Here is a 20,979-nt window from a genome sequence, read left to right on the forward strand (position 1 = left end):
GTTTTGTCTCTCATCTTTCAGTTTTTTTTCTCCAGCTTACATTTCCATCTCACTGAACAGGCCTTGCCACAGTTGCCTGTGTCCCGCTACGCCCTCTGGCGTCCCTTTCCTCAGGTGCCTGAGCCCCTGGGCTGCCGGCTCACAGGTATCACCTGCCTGGAAGCGCTGTGCAGCGTGCAGGGCTCGCTGGTGGGGAGGATCACTGTCACTGACCCAGCTGGCTATGATGCCTGCATCTTTATTTTCTCTTAGGGCTTGTCAGGATATTCTGGTGCCCTGCCAAGGGCAGATGCTGAACTGAAAGTATTCAGAGGGAAAGGGCAGACAGCCTGAAAGTCTAGAATTTAGGTAGGTTAGTACTTAACTTTCCTCTTTTCCTGATGGTATCCACATATTCAGCCATGCCAGAGCCCCCAGTCTGGAGGTCTCTATCCTCTCCAGGGAGTCACTGCCTCCTGCCTTCTCCTCAAGTGGGGAGGATCAGACCCCCAGCAGCAGAGACAGGAGGCTGCCCTGCAGGGGAGAGCTGGCCTTTGCCCAATCCTCTCTTCTCAGCCTCTGCTCACCCCTGCTCGCATGTCTGCCCTGCTGGGGCTCAGCACGTGTGGACCCCAACTTCCGAAGGCTGCATCACCTCGCTGCTATCTCAAACTCTGCATGCAGTCTGCCACACCTGTCCTTTTGATTTACAACTCTTGTCACTCTTGGAAGTCCTTTTCTCTGTGTCCTTTGAGATTGTAGAGGTGTTTTAAAAATCTCATTCTGTTACTTTAGAGGAATTTAGGGAAGGAATAGAGGTCAAAGGCGTATGTTTTTTCTATCATTTCCATCAGAGGTCATAGTTTAAGAAATCAGAATGTTAAATCTGAGTGTCATCTACTACGATTTTATTTCTAATTTTAAAGAATACAAATTCCTACTGCAATCTACCACAAAAGATTCCCCTACAACAGAAAAGCACTGTTTGCAATAAAAGCTCAACTTAGGACATCATGTACTCTCCCTTAAAATGGTCATATCAACAGTTAACAGTTTCTGTCCACAGAACAAGTTAAATTTCAAAATCCCAGAGGTTTAGCAAACGAAAGTCAACTATATATTAAATACTGATCTCCAGGGAGAAAGGGGGACACAGCAGGAACATGCCAGAAATGATAACTCAGCATCGAGGCCACAAGAGAACTCTGAGAACAGAGAGGTCTACCGGGGTGCAGAGACCTGCCTGCAGCTGGTATGAATGCAAAGCCAGCTCTGGGCCCCAGGACGGGTTTGTAAGCTCCAAAGCCACATCTTGGCAAATGTCAATACCCTGCATAGCTGTGCCTTATAATATTTAGGCTTAGAAATTTGCAAAGCATAAGGGAATAGAAAAAACAATCAATGTTTTAACATCCAATAACACTCATTAGCTATTTCTTACTTTTTTAAGACAGAGTCTCGCTTCATTACTCAGGCTGGAGTGCAGTGGGCATGATCTCAGCTCACTGCAACCTCCGCCTCTCAGGTTCAAGAAATTCTCCTGCCTCAGCCTCCTGAGTAGCTGGGATTACAGGCACACACCACCATGCCTGGCTAATTTTTTGTATTTTTAGTAGAAACAAGGTTTTGCCATGTTCGCCAGGCTGGGCTTGAATTCCTGACCTCTGATGATCCGCTCACCTCCACCTCCCAAAGTGCTGGGATTACAGGCATGAGCCACCATGCCTGGCCTAATATTCATTAACTATTGATAAGGGGTATGTTTTGGGTTTTTCTGAGTTTGTTAAAAGCAAGAGCTTTCAACCTTATAGGAAAAAGTCTTGTCATACTTTAATGAAATATTTCAGGAATATGGCAACCCTTTTATAAGGATTATATAAGAAAATATTGACCGGGTGCAGTGGCTCACGCCTGTAATCCCAGCACTTCGGGAGGCCAAACTGGGCGGATCACGAGGTCAGGAGTTCAAGACCAGCCTGGCCAACATAGTGAAACTCCGTCTCTACTAAAAATACAAAAAATTAGCTAGGTGTGGTGGCGGGTGCCTGTAATCCCAGCTACTCGGGAGGCTGAGGCAGGAGAATCGCTTCAATCTGGGATGCAGAGGTTGCAGTCAGCAGAGATCGTGCCACTGCACTCCAGCCTGGGCGAAAGTGCAAGACTCTGTCTCAAACAAACAAACAAACAAAAAAAACAGTTTATTTAAAGGGAAACTTTGTTACCATTTTGGTATTATCCACTGAAGACTGCATGAGCTCCAATACAGCAAGATCCAGATTTTTCAATAATTCCGTGTTGATCGTTTCTGAGAACAAGCTATAGAAATACTCCCCATGGGAGAAGTGGATGACGCTGCCCTGTGAGCTGCCCAAGGACGCCGTGGACAGCACCGCTGGGTTCAGGAGAAGACTCACAAGGCGCTCACACTGGGAAAAAGAAAGGAGAAGTACCATAACTGGGGCACATCTTTGCATGGCACAGAAAGACCCTTGGGCAACTGATAACTTTGAAATTGGAAAATGACACAGGTCTAAAAAGAGCCTGATATGTGAAGCCTGGATTCAAGCTGAAATTGTATATATTTCAACTAGCCTCCATTTTCTAGGTTTCATTTTGGGAAAGAAATCTTCCTTGACCCATATTTCTTCCAAATGTCCAAAAGTCTTGTTGTTGTGTTTTATTTTTTGAGACAGGGTCTCGCTCTGTTGCCCAGGCTGGAGTACAGTGGCACGATCTCGGCTCACTGCAAACCTCCACCTCCTAGGTTCAAGCAATTCTCCGGCCTCAGCACCCCCGAGTATCTGGAATTACAAGTGCGTTCTACCACACCTGGCTAATTTTTGTATTTTTAGTAGAGACAGCATTTCACCATGTAGTTCAGGCTGGTCTCGAACTCCTGACCTCAAGCAATTCACCCGCCTTGGCCTCTCAAAGTGCTAGGATTACAGGCAATAAGTCACCCTGCCCAGCCTTGTTGTTTTTTAAAGACAGGGTGTCACTCTGTTGCCCAGGCTGGAGTGCAGTGGCATGATCATGACTCACTACAGCCTTGACTTCCTGGGCTCAAGCGATCTTCCCACCTCAGCCTCTTGTGTAGCTGGGACTACAAGCATGTGCCACCATACCTGGCTAATTTTTTAAATTTTTTTGTAGAAACAGGGTCTCGCTATGTTGTCCAGGATGGTCTCAAACTCCTGGGCTCAAGCCATCTGCCTACCCCAGTGTTGTTGCTTTGAGGATAGTCTATTAAGGGTGAGTATTTTTAGACAATTTAAATATGTAATTGTTTACATTAATCGGACAAAGGGGTGAAAAAGGGGTTTCTGCTACAGAAGAAAGAAAGTTGGGATGGAGTGAACACAGAGGGCTGGCTGCAGATTTCAGCTACAGCAGGGACTATTTAAGGCCAGCCCTGCATGGTTCAAAGAGCCATGAGAATATTTTTTTGGAGACTCTGGTTCCTCTGGGATTATCCTTCAGAGGCCCTCCCAATCATCCATGTGAAGGACCACCAAGGAGAGGAGAAGAGGCCACATGTCAACATGACTCAGCTTCATAGTCACAAAACGTTCTCTAGCTAATTCCTTTTGGAAACAAAGTGGGATAGACAAAACCTCTATTTAAAAAGAATGTTGTTCTATTCCGTTCTTTTTTTTTTTAACTATTGAGAAAATAATCTTTTAGAAAGTTGGCTCATGCAAATCATACAATACTTGTCCAGCTAAAACCTTACTACCCAAATTCCACAGTTTCTAGAGACACCTGCAAGTGACATATGTATTTCTATTATTAGGGGAGTGCAGCATGCAGAGGCGTTTTTCCTACCAGTCCTCCAAAAGCAAAGGCTAACTCCAGAAGTCCGCTGGCCAGCTGCTTACAACTGAGGTCTAGAGAAGGCAGACACTGTCTCTCATCTCCAGGGGCAATGCCTTTATAAACCAGGGAAAGAAGTTCTGTGCCAACAGAATGATGCAAATCTGTGGACTAAAAGGAAGCCAACACTGAAATGCCTAGCAAAAAGATATTTCTTAGAAAAAAACAACTTCACTCCTCTCATTAAATAAAAAACCCACTTCAGATAGCACTGACAACTACCTTCCAATATTCAGAAAAATTTTAATTCAACTTTGCTTTTGTTGTTCTTGCTATTGTGAGACAGGGTCTTGCTCTGTCGCCCAGGCTGGAGTGCAGTGACACAATCGTGGCTCACTGCATTCTCAGGCTTCCAAGCTCAAGCAATCCTCCCACCTCAGCCTCCTGAGTAGCTGGGACTACGGGTCCGCGGCACCCACTCCTGGACAATGTTTTTTTTTGTTGTTGTTGTTTTTTAATTGTTTGTAGAGATGAATTCCTGCCATGTTGCCTGGGTCGGTCTCAAACTTCTGGCCTCAAGCAATCCTCCTATCTGAGCCTCCCAAAGTGCTGGGATTACAAGTATGAGCCACTGTATCTGGCTCAACCTTGCTTTCTATGCTAGATTCTTCATTTGTGTTGTCTTGCCACAAAGGCACAACAGCAGTTCCTAAAGTTTTTCAGAAAGCTGCTCTGTAAATACCTAAATGTCCTTTATTTTACTTTCATTTTATATTTATAAATTTTTACATTTGCTTTCATATTTATATTGATATATCATAGATATACAGATACATAATATCTACATGTCTTGAGCAAGTATTTCTATAATTCCCATTTCAGCATGCTCAATACATAAAGGACTTTTAAGAAATAATATAAATAAATACACTAATTATCATACTAAAGCTAAAATAAATGTAAAAACAATAAGTTATAGTTACCTGAGACGGTAATATATTATGCAGAAGCCCAGCTCTGTGAAGCTGTTTACAGGCAGACACAACAGCAGCCAGCCTGCTCCTGTCCACTTGCGCGTCAGGGCCATACAAGTTGACGGCACAAAGCTCCTCAATGCTGGCCATGTGACAAAACAGTAAATTAGGTGAGCTCTGATCTCGTTAAATTATCAAGATACACTGAAAAAAATGTTTGCACTGTTATGAAGCAAACAGAGGCAACATCTAACAGGATCCACACGCACTAAGCTAGCATGGAGATCAAACATGGCGCTAACCATGTCTGAAGTTTGCTTAAGTTTGGTACAGGGAAGGCACTAGTTAAATGTGTTTTCTAAACAACTATTGAGGTCACTGGCAGCAAACATCCCACTGATATAAGCCTTCCCTGAGGAAGCAGGAGCAGCTGCAGGAGCACGGCAACATACTAGGGCCTGAAATTCCAGGACAACATGTCCCCGATTGTGACCCAAGTACCCACCTCTGTGCTGTTATTTTCTCTCTCAGATGGGTCTCTAGGATATCTTTGTATGGGGACATCTTTAGAGCTTTCATCAGATTCACACAAACATCAGGAAGATGAGCCATAACCTGGACGTCTCCGATGTTGAAACCTATGCTTGCGGGCTCACACAGCGTCTGCACCAGGACTCTCATCAGGTGTGTATTACACAAGTCCTTCTTCAGGAGCTGTAACAGATTGTTTGATAAAAACACTTCGTCAGCCAGCACTTCTATTTTCACCAAAGTGCAGGGCCCACAAGGTTGGGAACTTCTGCCTGACTAAGGGAGAGGTGGGCAGAGTTTCTCTGTAAAACGGGGGCACAGTAAACACTTGAGGTTTGTGGGCTAGACAGTCTCTGCTTCAACTCCTTACGCGTCTGATAAGAAAGCAGCACAGACAACAGGTGGACAGAGGCGCACAGCCATGCTCCTATTTAGCTTTATCTACGGAGCAGGCAGCAGGTGAGGTTGTGTCCATGGACAGGGTTTCCCCGCCCCTGACTCAGGACACTGCTGCATCCCAGGGCCTGGCGTGCCACAGGCACCTGGCAGAGATTCCCTGAATGAACTGACTGGAGTTTGTTTATACAATAAGCCTCATGGATACATCTATAAATATTTGCGAGTGTGTGTTTCCTAAGGTAGATGTTTGATCATAGCATAAAATACAGCATCCAATAAAACAATTAGAAAAAACTATTTTATATTTTATTCACACAGTGAAACTCTGAAGGACATGCAAAGTTTCATGATTTTCAATAGATCATTCATCATGATGACTGTAGTTAATAACGATGCATTGTAATTTTGCAAATTGCTAAGAAAATAGATTGAAAAGTTCCCATCAGAAAAAATGTTACATATATGAGGTAACAGATACGTTAATTAGCTTGATTTAGCCATACCACAAGGCAGAGCATATCAAAACATCATGCTGTATACCATAAATACAGTTTTTGTCAACTAAAACAAATTGACAAATTGATTTTGACATATAACTTCTGACAATGCAAAGTTTTAGAAAAGCCAAAACCTAGCCTTCTCTTCCTGGTTCTTCCTGAAGTCAGGAAAAGCTGGGTTGAGAGGATGAAATATAATAATAATAATAATAATAATAATAATGATAAATTTTTATTAAAAGCCAAAACCCCTTCTAACAGAAACCTTTGAAGTAGTTTTCCAGTACCAAAAACTGACCTCAAATTAACAGAGCAGCCTACCTTCCATCCTTCCGGGGAGGTGTTTAGCAGAGTCGTGGTAAACTCCATAATCCGGACCACAACGGTGCATTTGCTGTAGTTGTACCTTTCTCCCTCTTGTGGGCTTGTTCTGTTACCTGCTGCCCCAGTGCCAAAGCACTTTTCTGCTGCTATAATGTCATGCATGGCAATGCTTTCTAAGAAGAAAGCCACTGCTTTCAAAAGTGAAGACTGGGCTTCAGTACCTAGAAGCAATTATATTAAAGTATTAATATATGCTTCCTTTCAACTCCACTAAGATTAACATAAAATTGCTTCTGTAAGTATAGGCATGGTATACGTTCAGCAAAAATTCAAAATTTTTCAAAAGAAACAAACAGCTTAATAATAGCTGAATAAAGTGGCATTTATTTTTTCTCATATCAAAGGACACATTGATGGAAAGTCAGGTCTTTATTCCCAAACATTACATGTGAGAAGATAAATTAATATGCTCATTTTAAAGGGCAATTTGGCAATTCGTACCAAGTTTTTAAAAATATGCATGCCAATTTCTATCAAATGTTTAAAAACTCATTATGCTTTGATCCAGCACTGAAATTTTAACCTAATGAAATGACTGCAGAATTGAAGAGATGTGGTTGTAAGAATCTTCTTTTTAGCACTGTTATCAATAATGAATGTTATTAATAATGAAAAAATAAAAAATCCTGTCCTTCAAAGGACAGAGACAAATTATGGAGCAGTCTTCAAGCAGGTGTGGACAGGCACCAGTCATCTTATGGAATCAACTTTCAGATCAATCCTCAAACGGGCTTTGTCATAAAACTCGTTTGTCTGAAAACACCCTGGAGCTTGTTCTCCTTTCCCATCTCAGGTTGTTCATCAGGACTCTCCTGCTTAATGAAAGACAGACCCACCCTCACCTCTCTCCAGTCTAACTGTAGTTTATTACTCCAAGGTGCACAGCCCTTTAGAGTGCCAAGGGACAATTTAAAATACTTGTACACTGTTGAAAGAGTAAAGGCAACAATTGAGTAGGAAAGCCTTTTTGTAAGTCTCATGGTTTCTAATTCTTTGTTTCCAACATAATTTAAGGAAAGTCAATCCAAACTGTCAACTGACCTCGTTAAAAATAATTTTGATAACATGTATTTTGATGTATTCCAAGAACTGAGATAACTTATATTAAGAATTATTCTCAGCCGGGCGCGGTGGCTCACACCTGTAATCCCAGCACTTTGGGAGGCCGAGGCAGGCGGATCACGAGGTCAGGAGATCGAGACCATCCTGGCTAACACAGTGAAACCCCGTCTCTACTAAAAATACAAAAAATTAGCTGGGCGTGGTGGCGGGCACCTGTAGTCCCAGCTACTAGGGAGGCTGAGGCAGGAGAATGGCATGATCCCGGGAGGATGAGCTTGCAGTGAGCCAAGATCGCGCCACTGCACTCCAGCCTGGGCGACGGAGACTCCATTTCAAAAAAGAAAAAAACTAATTATTCTCAAAAACCAAATATCCTTGAATCCAATAGAATATTGGATTGTAAGACACACTGCAACCATGGATCTGTTAAATATGGGAAAATGTACATTTTAGAATAAACCAAATATGGCACTTATTTATGTGAACAAGTTTTTTTTGTTTTGGTTTTATTTTCTGAGACGGTGTCACCCAGGCTGGAGTGCTCTGGTGCGATCTCAGCTCACTGCAACCTCCGCCTCCGGGGTTCAAACAATTCTTGTGCCTCAGCCTCCCGAGTAGCTGGGATTAACAGGGACCTGCCACCATGCCTGACTAATTTTTGTATTTTTGGTAGATACGGGATTTCGCCATGTTGGCCAGACTGGTTTCGAACTCCTCACCTCAGGTGATGTGCCCATCTCGGCCTCCCAAATTGCTGGGATTACAGGTGTGAGCCACCGCGTCCGGCCATGAACAAGTTTTTTTAATACTAAAATCTATACGTACAAAAATAAAATTCCAACCGCATAATTTTACATTTTATGTGTAATAATTACCAAAATTTTTATTATATTTGTTGTTGTGGCAGTAAAAAATGTAATGTGCACTAATAACAAATATAATAGTAACACAGAAGAAAATTTTTTTTGAGACACGGTCTCACTCTATCGCCCAGGCTAGAGTACAGTGGCACAATCACGGCTCACTGTAGCCTCAACCTTCCAGGCTCAAGCGATCCTCCCACCTCAGACTCCCCAGTAGCTGGGATCACAGATGTGCATCACCACGCCTGACTAACTTTAGTATTTTTTGTACAGATAGTGTCTCGCCGTGTTGCCCAGGCTGGTCTCAACCTCCTGGGCTCAAGTGGTCCTCCTGCCTCGGCTTCCCAAAGTGCTGGGATTACAGGAGAGAGCCTCTGCACCCAGCCAAGGAATCTTTAAATATGTACATCTTTTCATTAAAAAGACGTAGATAGGGATATAGTAAAATCTTAAGCAAAAAAAACTTAATACTTTAGGATAAAATCATTTGAAGGGTAGGAAATGAGAATATGAATTAAGGGACTCTGCAAAATTTCCAATAAAGCAGCTATATTTTAAAGCCAATGATGCTGTACATAAAACTGCTACAGTATTCATTGTTCATGGAATACGTTTTTTTTAAGTAATATTAACAGTTTTGTGTATTTAAAATGTCAACATTTACAATACACCAGAAAGTGTAACTTTTTCAATTATATAAAGCTATGAGAACACTGTATTTGTCAACTTTGAAGTGTGAAGAATGGAACCCTTGCAGAGAAGTGACATGAAAGCACGGGCAAGGTGGTGCACAGCACCTACCATCATGTCGCTGGGATTCTGACCTGGCAGAGCCACTGCCCAGGGTGACTCTGGCAGCACGACACACACCAGAATAAGGCAAGGGTGACCTACCTAGGACCTGGAGCGCTCCTACAGTTCTCTCGCCAATGAACGTGTTGTAGCACTCCAACGCGGCCAGGAGCAGGTCCAGCCAGCATAGCGTGGCCTGCAGGCTGAATGGCCCCCGAAGGTACAAGAGGGTGGGCTGGGCCAGGATGCCCGAGGGCTGGCCACAGCCACCCCCCTCAAAGGTGTTGATGAGAAAAGAGACACCTTCTTCCTTGAGAACATCTTTCAGCCACAAATTAGGGGATCTGTTGCCTTTAAAAAGAAACAAAATTAAAATGCACACATATACCTACATTTCTTTAATCTAATCTTTGTACCTAAAATTTCAAAATGTTATGGGACAATCTTTTTTCATTTTACTACGCATTCAACTTGTTTCACTGTAATTACTTCCAAGAAGGTATTTCCACCACAGCCATTCTCTTCAGGTTCCTCAAACATTATAAAAATAGTTGGACACCATTTGGAGTAGCTGCATACTAATACTCTTTCCCCTGCCTTTTTATTTAAAAATTATTATTCCTTTAAGTCACAAAACAGCATTTGCAAATGAGAACAATAATATCTACCTCTGGGGCTGTTACAAAAATTAGCTGAATTAAAGTAGTTAATATTTGAACATGTGCTTAGAATAACGTCTACCACACAGTAAGTGCAGTGTTTGTTAAATAAGAGAATCGAATGAGCCGTTTTTTCCAGGAAATTTTCTTTTAAATATTAAACTTCTTCTAAATTAAAAAGATAAATACATAAAACTGCATTTTGTATGCTCTGAAATCAGTAGCACTGAAAATGTCAAATCATTCTGACTCTAATGAAGAATTCAAAACATGTATCTCTGATGTATTAAAAACAGAACATTCAGCCGGGGGTGGTGGCTCAGGTCTGTAATCCCAGCACTTTGGGGGGCTGAGATGGGCGGATCACTTGAGGTCAAGAGTTCATGACCAGCCTGGCCAACATGGTGAAACCCCATCTCTACTAAAAATACAAAAATCAGCCAGGCGTGGTGGTGCGCGCCTGTGGTCTCAGCTACTCAGGAGGCTGAGGCAGGAGAATCGCTTAAACGAGGGGGAGGTTGCAGTGAGCCAAGATCACGCCACTGCATTACATCCTCAGCTACAGAGTGAGACTCGGTATAAAAAAAAGAAAGAAAGAGAGAACATTTTGTATATTAAGAGGAGGAATATTCTGTAATGTTCTGTTACTTTCACTAAGAGACAAAGAAATGTATAATAATGAGCAAAAAATAAATAGTAAGATATTTAAATTCTACATCAAGAGTGACAGAAGAAAAATGATAGAAAGAAAGGACACAAAAAGGCAGATCGAGAGAGAGCAGACAAGGGTACATCACAAGAAGACAGAGAAGCTGAAGACGCAGACAAGCACGCTTGGGGTTGGGGAGCCTGCCCAGCCCTACTTCTTCCTTGGTCTCCACCGAGGACCTGCTGTCTGTTTCTGGGCCTGGACCACGCTGAGTCTCAGTATTCAGAAGCCGCCAGGAGCTGTCTCTCTTGGACACATGTCAGAGGGACAACCCTGCACCTGTCGTCAAGCCCTACTGATCTGGGTGTTCCTGTACCCAGGACTGCTGCTACACAGTGAGCTAAAGAGACACCTGACACAGACGCTTAAAAACCACTGAAGGAAGCTAGATGCAATGGCTTGTACCTGTAATTCCAGCACTTTGGGAAGCCAAGGCAGGAGGACTGCTTGGGGTCAGGACTCAAGACTAGCCTGGGCAACATATTAATACCAAGACCCTATCTCTACAAAAAAACTTAAAAATGAGCCAGGCCTGGTAGCACATGCCTGTGTTCCCAGCTACTCATGAGGCTGGGGCAGGAGGATCACTTAAGCTCAGTTTATGGCTGCAGTGAACTATAATCATGTCACTGCAACCTACCTAGCCTGGGCAACAGAGTGAGACCCTGTCTCTTAAAAACAAACAGGTGCTGCACACCTGCAGTCCCAGCTACTAAGGAGGTTGAGGCAAGAGGATCACATGAGCCTAGGAGTTCGTGTCCAGCCCGGACAACATAGTGAGACTTTGTCTCTAAAACTGAAAAGGAAAAAAATAAAAGAAAACAAAAATAGCCACTGGAGGATAAAGATACCAAAGGAGAAAGGTGGCTACACCCTGCAAGGCCACAGAAGAGATAAATCAAGGAAGGCTCCTTAATGTTATACAAATTACCTGTTGGAAGAAGGGCAAGGCTCACCTACTACCTAGCAGCCTTTGTCCAACAAAACACAATGCTGAGAGGTGGAACTCTATTTAGTTCAGAATACATGAGGTCCGTATCACAGGCAACTGAGAAGAGAACAGCACTAGAAATGCCTGAGATCAGTACAGCTGAGGTCACAAGAAATCCTATGTGCTACCAGAGTCACAGACTCAATGTGAGATAGTGGTCTGCCCATAAGCAGCTCTACCAACATGCTATCAGGGTCTCGGTTTCTACTAAATATAGGAAAAATGCTGCCCACTGCCCTCCAGCCCTTCCCCAGCCACTGGTCCACTCTTCAATGACTAATTTCACAAGGTTGCTGTGAGAATGACTTAACATATAAAAAAAAAAGTTGTTAGCTAAACACATTAAGCAAACTGAAAATGCTAGGCCAGGCGTGGTAGCTCACACCTGCAATCCCAGCACTTTGGGAGGCAGAGGCTGGCAGATTACGAGGTCAGGAGTTTGAGACCAGACTGGCCAACATGGTGAAACCCCGTCTCTACTAAAAACACAAAAATTAGCCGGGCGTGGTAGCACACGCCTGTAATCCCAGCTACTCTGGAGGATGAGGCAGGAGAATTGCTTGAACCCAGGGCGCAGAGGCTGCAGTGAGCCAAGATCGTGCCATTGCACTCTAGCCCAGGCGACAGAGCAAGACTCTGTCTCGGGGGAAAAAAAATTTTTTTAAATGCTAATGTTTTTTAAACAATTATCTAAATTAAAACACAGATATACATTTCTATTATACATGTAAAATGATATAGTAAATTTATACTTCATTATTTATATAGCATATATAAAATAATCTAATTCAGTTATAGTATGTATTTATACATACTCTATAGTATATAATATGTAGTATATAACATTATAATATATCCTATAGTATGACAAAATGTAAAGTCCTTTTTAGTTTTAGAAGCCTGGAAATATATAAAGTAACTTTTTTCCTCTTGTTCCATGAAGAAAAAGCCCAGACAGAACTCCACCCCAGGCCAGGTGCAGTGGCTGACGCCTGTAATCCCAGCACTTTGGGAGGCCAAGGCGGGTGGATCACGAGGTCAGCAGATAGAGACCATCCTGGCTAACACGGTGAAACCCCGTCTCTACTAAAAATACAAAAAATTAGCCGGACGCGGTGGCGGGTGCCTGTAGTCCCAGCTACTTGGGAGGATGAGGCAAGAGAACGGCGTGAACCCAGGAGGTGGAGCTTGCAGTGAGCTGAGATAGCGCCACTGCAGTCCAGCCTGGGCAAAAGAGCGAGACTCCGTCTCAAAAAAAAAAAAAAAAAAACTCCACCCCAACTTTTGCCAAGGAACCAGCACACCCATCTAACCTGAGGCACTCTCCACACATGGCACAGGGCTGTGACAGCCCACAATGGGGGAAGGCAGGGCTTGATCTGTCCTGAGCACAGCTTCCCCACTCCCAAGCTATCAAACCTAGGTTTGGACTTAATGGACAAAACTGAGCAATACATTTATTCCTGAGAAACTTGTCATTATTTCAGTCCATAAGCAGTTTAATGGTTTAGTAATTACTGAAAAGCACAGGTTCACTGCTTTCCTTTAATATGATTTGAGATCATTCAGACTTAGGATGCTGGCAATTTCTTATTAATCACATGCTGAAACAGAACTGCATTACCTCATCAACTGTTAATATTCTGAATCTTAACTGAATACCATGTTAACTGCAATGATACCCAATTACTCAATTCTTCTTTACTTCTTTTAAATGGGATAATAAAGCACCGTGGTGAAATTAAAGATATACAGATTACCATACCTGGCAATAAAGGAACGAATTTATAAAAGAGTTCAATGGATTTGTGTCGACATTCTGTCTGGGGCCTCCCACAATGAGCTAAAAGCCACTTGACCAGATCCAATAAACACAATGATGCGGAAGGTGGAAATCCTCTGCACAGAGACAGCATACTGTCATTAGTCCCTCTCCAACATGCAACATTCAGCTACCAAGGCTCTAGAAATCATAAACTCATCTTTATCACACAGATATATGTAGAAATCTCACTAAAAGGCATTCGACTTATTTTTAATGTATTATAATTAGATGCAATCAAAATAACATAGGTGAAATGGGTCCTAAATGCTGCTCATGTTCATTTTTTCATGTGGGGAAAAATTAAAAAGTTCTCCTTAAAAGAACAGCACTAAGTATTTTCATGTTTCCTTTGCAATATACCTTGTAAAGCAGTGCTTCTCAAAGTGTGGTCCCTGGACAGCTGTTCCAACATTACCTGTGCACTTGTTATAAATCCAAATTATCTGGCCCTACCCCAGGGGTACACAGAAATTGAGGGTGGGGCCAGCCCAGCAATCTGTGTTTTAACTAGATCTCCAGGCAATTCTAATGTATGCTAAAGTTAGAACCAATGAACTAAACTGATATCGTAAGTTAATAGTAGAATCTGGAAGAATCAACTTTTAAAACAACTGAGAAAATATTAATAATCCAGTCCACATGGGACTGTGCTTCTCCAGAGTGGCGGTCACTAGCATGGATAACAGATGTCCCCAGATACCCTGCAGAGATCTGGAGGGGCTTATGGAGGGCACTCACCCTACTGGAGAAGGCAACACCACTAGGATGGAATAAGGGCAAAAACTGGAAACCACTGGCCAACATCCCAGCCTTGGTTGGCTCTAAGCAGTTTCATTTCCTAATTTTATAATTCCATGTCTGTCAAAATGTTACTATTTGAACATTCAGTTCATACACTTCAAAATTTACGGAATAATGGTTCATGCATATTCTAGTCAAATCATCCACATCAAAACATGTTCAAAATTAGTGCATATTAAATAAAACGTCTGTTACAAAACTAATTTTCAATTTGTATGTACTATCTCAACCCAGATCAAATACCTTATACCTTATCCCTTAAACCAAGTATTTTCAAACACAAAGCTTTTTAACGTTTTTGGAAAACGAACTCTTCAGACTTCCACACATTCCTTGTTTAGGAAGTAATTCCTTATACTTCCACAGATCCATCCCAGGTTGTCCTTCATTAGCTGTGAATTAGTTTTATGTTGTGGGAAAAGACGGAAAAGGAAGCAAGATCACCTACCGCGGCAAACGTCGTTTCTTTGCTTTATTTAAAGAAACATGCTTCTTTTCAATGATGCGGCATAGGTGATCAATGGCATCACAACACTGTTGAATTGTACCTGTTCTCAAGTACAGAGACATATTTCCAAAGAAGGCATATATAGCTGATTATTATTAAATTTGTATTATAAATGTGTTGGCCTAATTTTTAACTGAAAAGGTAATTTTACTATAGATTTAATATGTTTTCATCCCTAAGAATAATAAAATTAGATAAATGATTCACACTGCATATTCAAAAATGAACACAAAACCCCTATTTAAGACTGCAGGATAGCATGGTGCGTGCACGCACAAACACATGCACACACTCAGAGCAATGCCATACCTAACTAGAAACTGTACCACCAACACCACGGCCACCCAAAGCACAGCCTCTCCTAATGGACCTGAGATGGAAGAGACTTTGCAGGTATTACAAAACCCACATACCAGGCCAGAGCCTGTGGACTTCAATGTGGCTATTTTAAAGGGGTGTAAATCCCTTGACCTCCCTTCCTATGCAGGATAAACTACGGTATCGTTTGGTAATACAGCCTCTGGAGAAGTACAACAGAGGTAAGATGGTGAAGTCACTCACAGAAGTCTGGAATTATTTAGGAAAGGAGCCTTATACATCTTATTTTGACCTGTGTCACCAAGAAAAAGTTTTCTATGTTTTTTAAATATGTCCGTGATCACAAAAAAAGTTTCACTCGTTGAAAAAATTCACCCATATGGGAAATCAAGATAAACAAAGCAAATTTAAGCAATTTGACAATGAGGACTAAATTTTACACATTTTTGCCCACAGTAGACTATCAACATGAAGGATAACAGAGCTCAGTCTGTCTTTTTAAAAAATAAACAAAGTTGCCAGGCGCAGTGGCTCATGCCTGTAATCCCAGCATTTTGGGAGGCTGAGGCAGGTGGATCACGTAAGGTCAGGAGTTATAGACCAGCCAGGCTAACATGGAGAAACATCTCTACTAAAAATACAAAAATTAGCCAGGCGTGGTGGCAGGTCCCTGTAGTCTCAGCTACTCGGGAGGCTGAGGCAGGAGAATCGCTTGAACCCAGGAGGCGGAGGTTGCAGTGAGCTGAGATCGCACCACTGCACTCCAGCCTGGGTGACAAGAGCAAAACCCCATCACAAAAAATAAACAAATAAAATAAAATAAGTCAAGACCCGTATCAGTGATAAACTCCTGCCACAGCTGTGTGGCCGTCTCAGTCAATGACACGCCTGAGCCTCTGTGCCCCAACTACATCATGTGCTGGGACCAACGGGGAGTTAAGAAGTCTTCTAGCTCAACAACTCTATGTAGTTCCTAATAGCTTCTTGCATAGAATTTAATTGTAATCATTTATTACTCTCTTAGCTATTTTAGCCTACTTCTGACTTAATATCTTTATAATATTCCTTCATCATGGATGAAACAACTCTATCACAGTCCTGTAATGAGATCCACTTTCTACTTTCTAAATGATCACGAGTGAGTGCAGAGGCACTGACCACATCTCAGTGGTTACCACATCCAGTTTCTTCAGCACCATATCTGCACAGTTTCATGTTCTGTCATCACAGCATCATAGTGTCTGACTGGCTTCGTTGTCTCCCCTGCCCTGGGCAGAATCTGCAACCAACCAGGGTCAACCTCAATGGCCACCAGGAGTACATGGTGAGTCAAAGAAAATAAGGGCATGAAAAAATTATTAACAAGCTGGGTTTGAGGCACTGAAGGGGATTCTCTTCACATTTATTAATTTATAGAACTCTTGGGAAAAAAAAAACCTTATAAGAGAATCACACGAGCCTTAACTCCTCATTGGGGAAACTCTTCAGACCTGTAACGCACACAGAACACTGAAGCAAAACGTACCTAAGGACTTCTCATCTGCATGTGCTAAGGCCAGACTCTCCATGTATATCACCAAGGCTTCAAACACAAACTGTTCCACCAGAGACTCTTCTTCCCTGTAAAATAAAGAATAGGAAACCTCACCTAAGAAAACAATAAAGCAGAAAGGACAAAGAAAAGAAGGAATGGAATTAAAGAAGGCACACATTAATTAAATTTGTTTTTTGTGGCCGGGTGCGGTGGCTCACGCCTGTAATCCCAGCACTTTGGGAGGCCGAGGCAGGTGGATCACGAGGTCAGGAGATCGAGACCACAGTGAAACCCCGTCTCTACTAAAAATACAAAAAATTAGCTGGGCGCGGTGGCAGGCGCCTGTAGCCCCAGCTACTCGGGAGGCTGAGGCAGGAGAATGGCATGAACCCGGGAGGTGGAGCTTGCAGTGAGCCGAGATCCTGCCACTGCACTCCAGCCTGGGCAACAGAGCAAGACTCCAGCTCAAAAAAAAAAAAAATTGTTTTTTTGTTGTTGTTTTTTTAAAGGCTCAGCTGGGTGTGGTGGTGCATGCCTATAAAGATCACTTGAGCCCTGGAGTTCGAGACCAGCCTGGGCAACAAAGTGACACCCTGTCTCTACAAAAAATTAAAAAAAAAAAATTAGTTGGGTGCAGTGGTGCACACCTGTGGTCCCAGCTACCTGGGAGGCTGAGGCAGGAGGACCACTTGAGCTCAGGAGGTTGAGGTTGAGTCATGATCCCCCCACTGCACTCCAGCCTGAGCAACAGAGCAAGACCCTGTCTCAGACGAAAAAAAGGGCGGGGTGGGGGGGCTCTGTCTTAAAACATGAAACAGGTGCAGTGGCTCACACCTGTAATCCTAGAACTTTGGGAGGCTGAGGCAGGGATCACCTGAGGTCAGGAGTTCAAGACCAGCTTGACTAACATGGTGAAACCCAGTCTCTACTAAAAACACAAAAATTAGCCATGCGTAGTGGCGGGCGCCTGTAATCCCACCTACTTGGAAGACTGAGGCAGGCAAATCGCTTGAACCTGGGAAGCAGAGGTTGCAGTGAGCCGAGATCGCACCACTGCACTCCAGCCTGGGTGACAGAGCAAGACTCTGTCTCCAAAAACAAAAACAAAAAAAAATAGAAAAGAAAAACCATGAAACAACCTAAAACACTTCTCAAAGATACTTCCTCAAGAGCAGACTAGAGGAAAGCTACATGAGCCAAAGAGGCAGCACACGCTCTGTTTCCACACAAGTGCCTCTGTCCCTTGCATCTGCAGAACTGCTCATTTGCCTATGTGGCTAATTATTATCTATGTGTCCTTCTGAAATGTAACCCTCACGAAGGGCTGTATCGTTATACCTCCAACATAGACACAGGTCTGGCACATCATTTTTTTTTTCTTCATCTTTTAAGTTCAGGGGTACATGTGCAGGATGTGAGGTTACACAGGTAAATGTGGTACACAATATTCCTAATAAGGAATGCTGGATGAATGAATGAACACCACTACCTTAGGTCAGTGACCACTTGTCTTTTACCTTGGACCTCTGAAATGGCCTGTTCACTGGTGTTCCAGTCTTCAGTCTACTCAGACCCACTCTCTACACAGCTACCAGCAAGTGGATTTTAGGAGGAAATCTAAATGCATCTCTCCCTGCACCCACTACTCCACAGATCCTCTGTCACTAGCGGTGACCTACGCTCCTTACTACAGCAAGCAGAGCCCTCCTCGCCAGCCTCACGACACCTGCCTCCAAACCTCAAAGGACTTTATCGCCTCAGACACCTTCCTATTTCTTATCTCTACCCCCCCACCACCCACTAACTTTGATCTAAAATGCCTTGGCTGACTTCCATTTATCCTTCAAGTCTCATCTCCAATATAAACCCTAGCAAGAGGCCACAGCAAACTTGCTCACCCTGGATCAGCTACTCCTCCTCTGTGCACCCAAAGCCCCTGTATATGTGTCTTTTGTTGCATTTCCAAAATGGCTGAGACAGTGTTTACATGCATTTCTCAGCAGTTTCCAAGCTTCTGGAGTGCAAACTGAATTTTAATTCACTTTTTAATTTCCAGAAGACAGCACAGCATCCAGCACATAATTACTTACTAAATGCAGGAAATATGACACACGGATACACAGAGTGAAACTCCAAGTCACCTTTCAAAACCACAAGTTTCTCTTCTCTGTTGTGTAGCTTACAAACCTGAATTCCCTGTAGATATTATTAAAGGCAAGTGATGCTCCCAGCCTCTTGAAAGCATTGGGGTGAAGCGCAAGGCTATAAAGTCGCTTGAAAAGCGATTTGGTGTTTACTGGACTCTTCTCCTGCTGCTGTGGTGTTATTTGCTTAATGGACCATTTAAGGAATTCTCGAATACACCGACCACAAAAATCTCTTAAAGTACTGTCAACAGGGTCCACAATTCCATCCTGAAACAAAACAAAGAGACCTTGATTGTACTAATTTTTATAACCACTGACAACTGAATACCCTTGGTCTATCTCTGAGCATAACTAAAGTATGTTAAAAATTAATTTATAGCACTAGTCAAGAAAAAAATAAACATTAGTAAAACCAATCTCCATAGTGTATCCAGAATCTAGGCTTGAATAACTATTTCCTTCTGATATAATGAAAACATTTTCTTTTAAACAAATTAATAAACTGAAAAGCCATGAAGAGGGGAGAGAAAACTTTAATTATAACAAAACAATCTTTCCCTTCCCTGAAAAAAAAGAAAATGGCTATATCCTAAGAATTCCAGAGGAATTTTGATTGTTGATTTTACCCCATAACAGCTTTTGAGACACTTTGCATATTGAAGTCAAAGAGAATAAGACCCTTTGAAGTTCCAAAGAAACTGTACTGCTCCATAAAGGAAAATCCTATGGAGGCATGAAGAGCAGACCCCATAAAGGCCCTGCCGAAAACAGCTATGGACATTTGACCAACGACCACACAGAGATGTATTCTACTTTATGCTTTGTTGCCTTCTAGTCATGACGCTGTCTCAGATCTACAAAGGAAAAGTTTAACTTGAAAACGTACACTCAACAATGAATTAAGAGAGTTCTGCCTAACACTTCCAGTTATCTGCTACATATAAAATCCTTTCTTGCAGAGGTAATTAGAATCCAAAAAGGTAACACAAGCCATGGTAATGGGAGGAGAGGGTGCTTCCTGCTTTTCAGAGCAGAGGTCACCAGCGCCAAGTGGTGATGCAGGGAAGAGCAGCTCTCACCAGGAAACCCACGGCCCTCCTTCACTTGAGTGCCGTGCTACCGAGTTCATGCTGCTTCTTTACCTTTTCTTTCCTCAACTATCTCGTTTTACTTATCAGATTTCTTTCTTAATCTCTTACTTAATCTACCTTCAAGGATCAAAAGGGAGAAAAGAAACAGAAAACAACTAAAATAAAAACTTTTTAACAGAAACATTATAATGAAAACATCTGAATGTAAATAAGCCATAAATTAACTTTAGCTAACTGTATTTATTATAGGTAGGATTCACTGGTAGACACTGCAGGGAATTAAACTACAGGTTTAATTATGTCACCACCCTAACGAATGTTCAGTCACTCTCCCCTACCCGTAACATGACTAAGAAAGATCACACTCAGAGTACACTGCCAGCAGCATAACCAGGGCTGTGCAGGAGACATAAACTTATTTGCACAGGTTCAAAATTTATAGTAAAATAAGCATCAAAAAAAAACTACAATTTAGCTGGCCTCACTGCCTCTGCCCTCAGTGAGCTGGCGACCAAATTCTAAGACAATGCTTCTCCGTGTCAGGAGAGTTCTGTGTAAAAGGTGAACTGCTGTTTCCAGGGCCCTTTAGTTATTGAATCTGAGTATAGGAGAAAATTGGATATACTCAGAAATTCTTCTTATTCTTTGTTTTTGAGACAGAGTCTCACTCTGTCGCCCAGACTGGAGTGCAGTAGCGCAATCTCAGCTCACTGCAACCTTTGTCTCCCAGGTTGAAGCAATTCTCATGCCTAAGCCACCTGGCGAGCTGGCACTACAGGTGTGTAACACCATGCCAGCTAATTTTTCTATTTTTAGTAGAGACAGGGTTTCTCCATGTTGGCCTGGTTGGTTTCCAACTCCTGGGCTCATGCAATCTGCATGCCTCGGCCTCCCAAAGTGTTGGATTACAGGCGTGAGCCACTGTGCCTGGCTCACTGCCAAGGTGGGCGGATCACTTGAGGTCAGGACTAAGACCAGCCTGGCCAACAAAGTGAAACGCTGTCTCTGATTGAAATACAAAAAATTAGGCAGGCATGGTGGTGTGCACCTGTAGTCCCAGCTATTCAGGAGGCTGAGACAGGAGAATTGCTTGATCCTGGGA

The 20,979-nt window shown here is 42.6% G+C and overlaps 1 protein-coding gene across 2 annotated transcripts in view, besides 1 other annotated feature; it reads right to left on the reverse strand.

Annotated features, from left to right (window-relative positions):
- The window catches only part of PRKDC (protein kinase, DNA-activated, catalytic subunit), a 187,026-nt gene that overhangs the window by 110,632 nt on the left and 55,415 nt on the right, over positions 1-20,979 (reverse strand). For both annotated transcript variants that reach the window (NM_001081640.2, NM_006904.7), the window contains exons 27-36: positions 18,827-19,053; positions 16,631-16,725; positions 14,728-14,827; positions 13,419-13,552; positions 9,397-9,645; positions 6,515-6,738; positions 5,272-5,480; positions 4,776-4,908; positions 3,805-3,963; positions 2,202-2,405 (exon numbers count right to left, since the gene is read on the reverse strand). In NM_001081640.2, the coding sequence (NP_001075109.1) occupies positions 2,202-2,405; positions 3,805-3,963; positions 4,776-4,908; positions 5,272-5,480; positions 6,515-6,738; positions 9,397-9,645; positions 13,419-13,552; positions 14,728-14,827; positions 16,631-16,725; positions 18,827-19,053 (1,734 nt within the window). The remainder of the gene's footprint in view (positions 1-2,201; positions 2,406-3,804; positions 3,964-4,775; positions 4,909-5,271; positions 5,481-6,514; positions 6,739-9,396; positions 9,646-13,418; positions 13,553-14,727; positions 14,828-16,630; positions 16,726-18,826; positions 19,054-20,979) is intronic.
- Positions 15,986-16,245: an enhancer, noted in NCBI's record as "active region_27330". NCBI's record gives its function as "activates an Ori minimal core promoter by ATAC-STARR-seq in GM12878 lymphoblastoid cells {active_cell/tissue: GM12878}" and the evidence as "EXISTENCE:reporter gene assay evidence [ECO:0000049][PMID:35858748]".

The sequence above is a fragment of the Homo sapiens genome, chromosome 8 (genome assembly GCF_000001405.40).
Source record: "Homo sapiens chromosome 8, GRCh38.p14 Primary Assembly".
Taxonomy (NCBI): domain Eukaryota; kingdom Metazoa; phylum Chordata; class Mammalia; order Primates; family Hominidae; genus Homo; species Homo sapiens.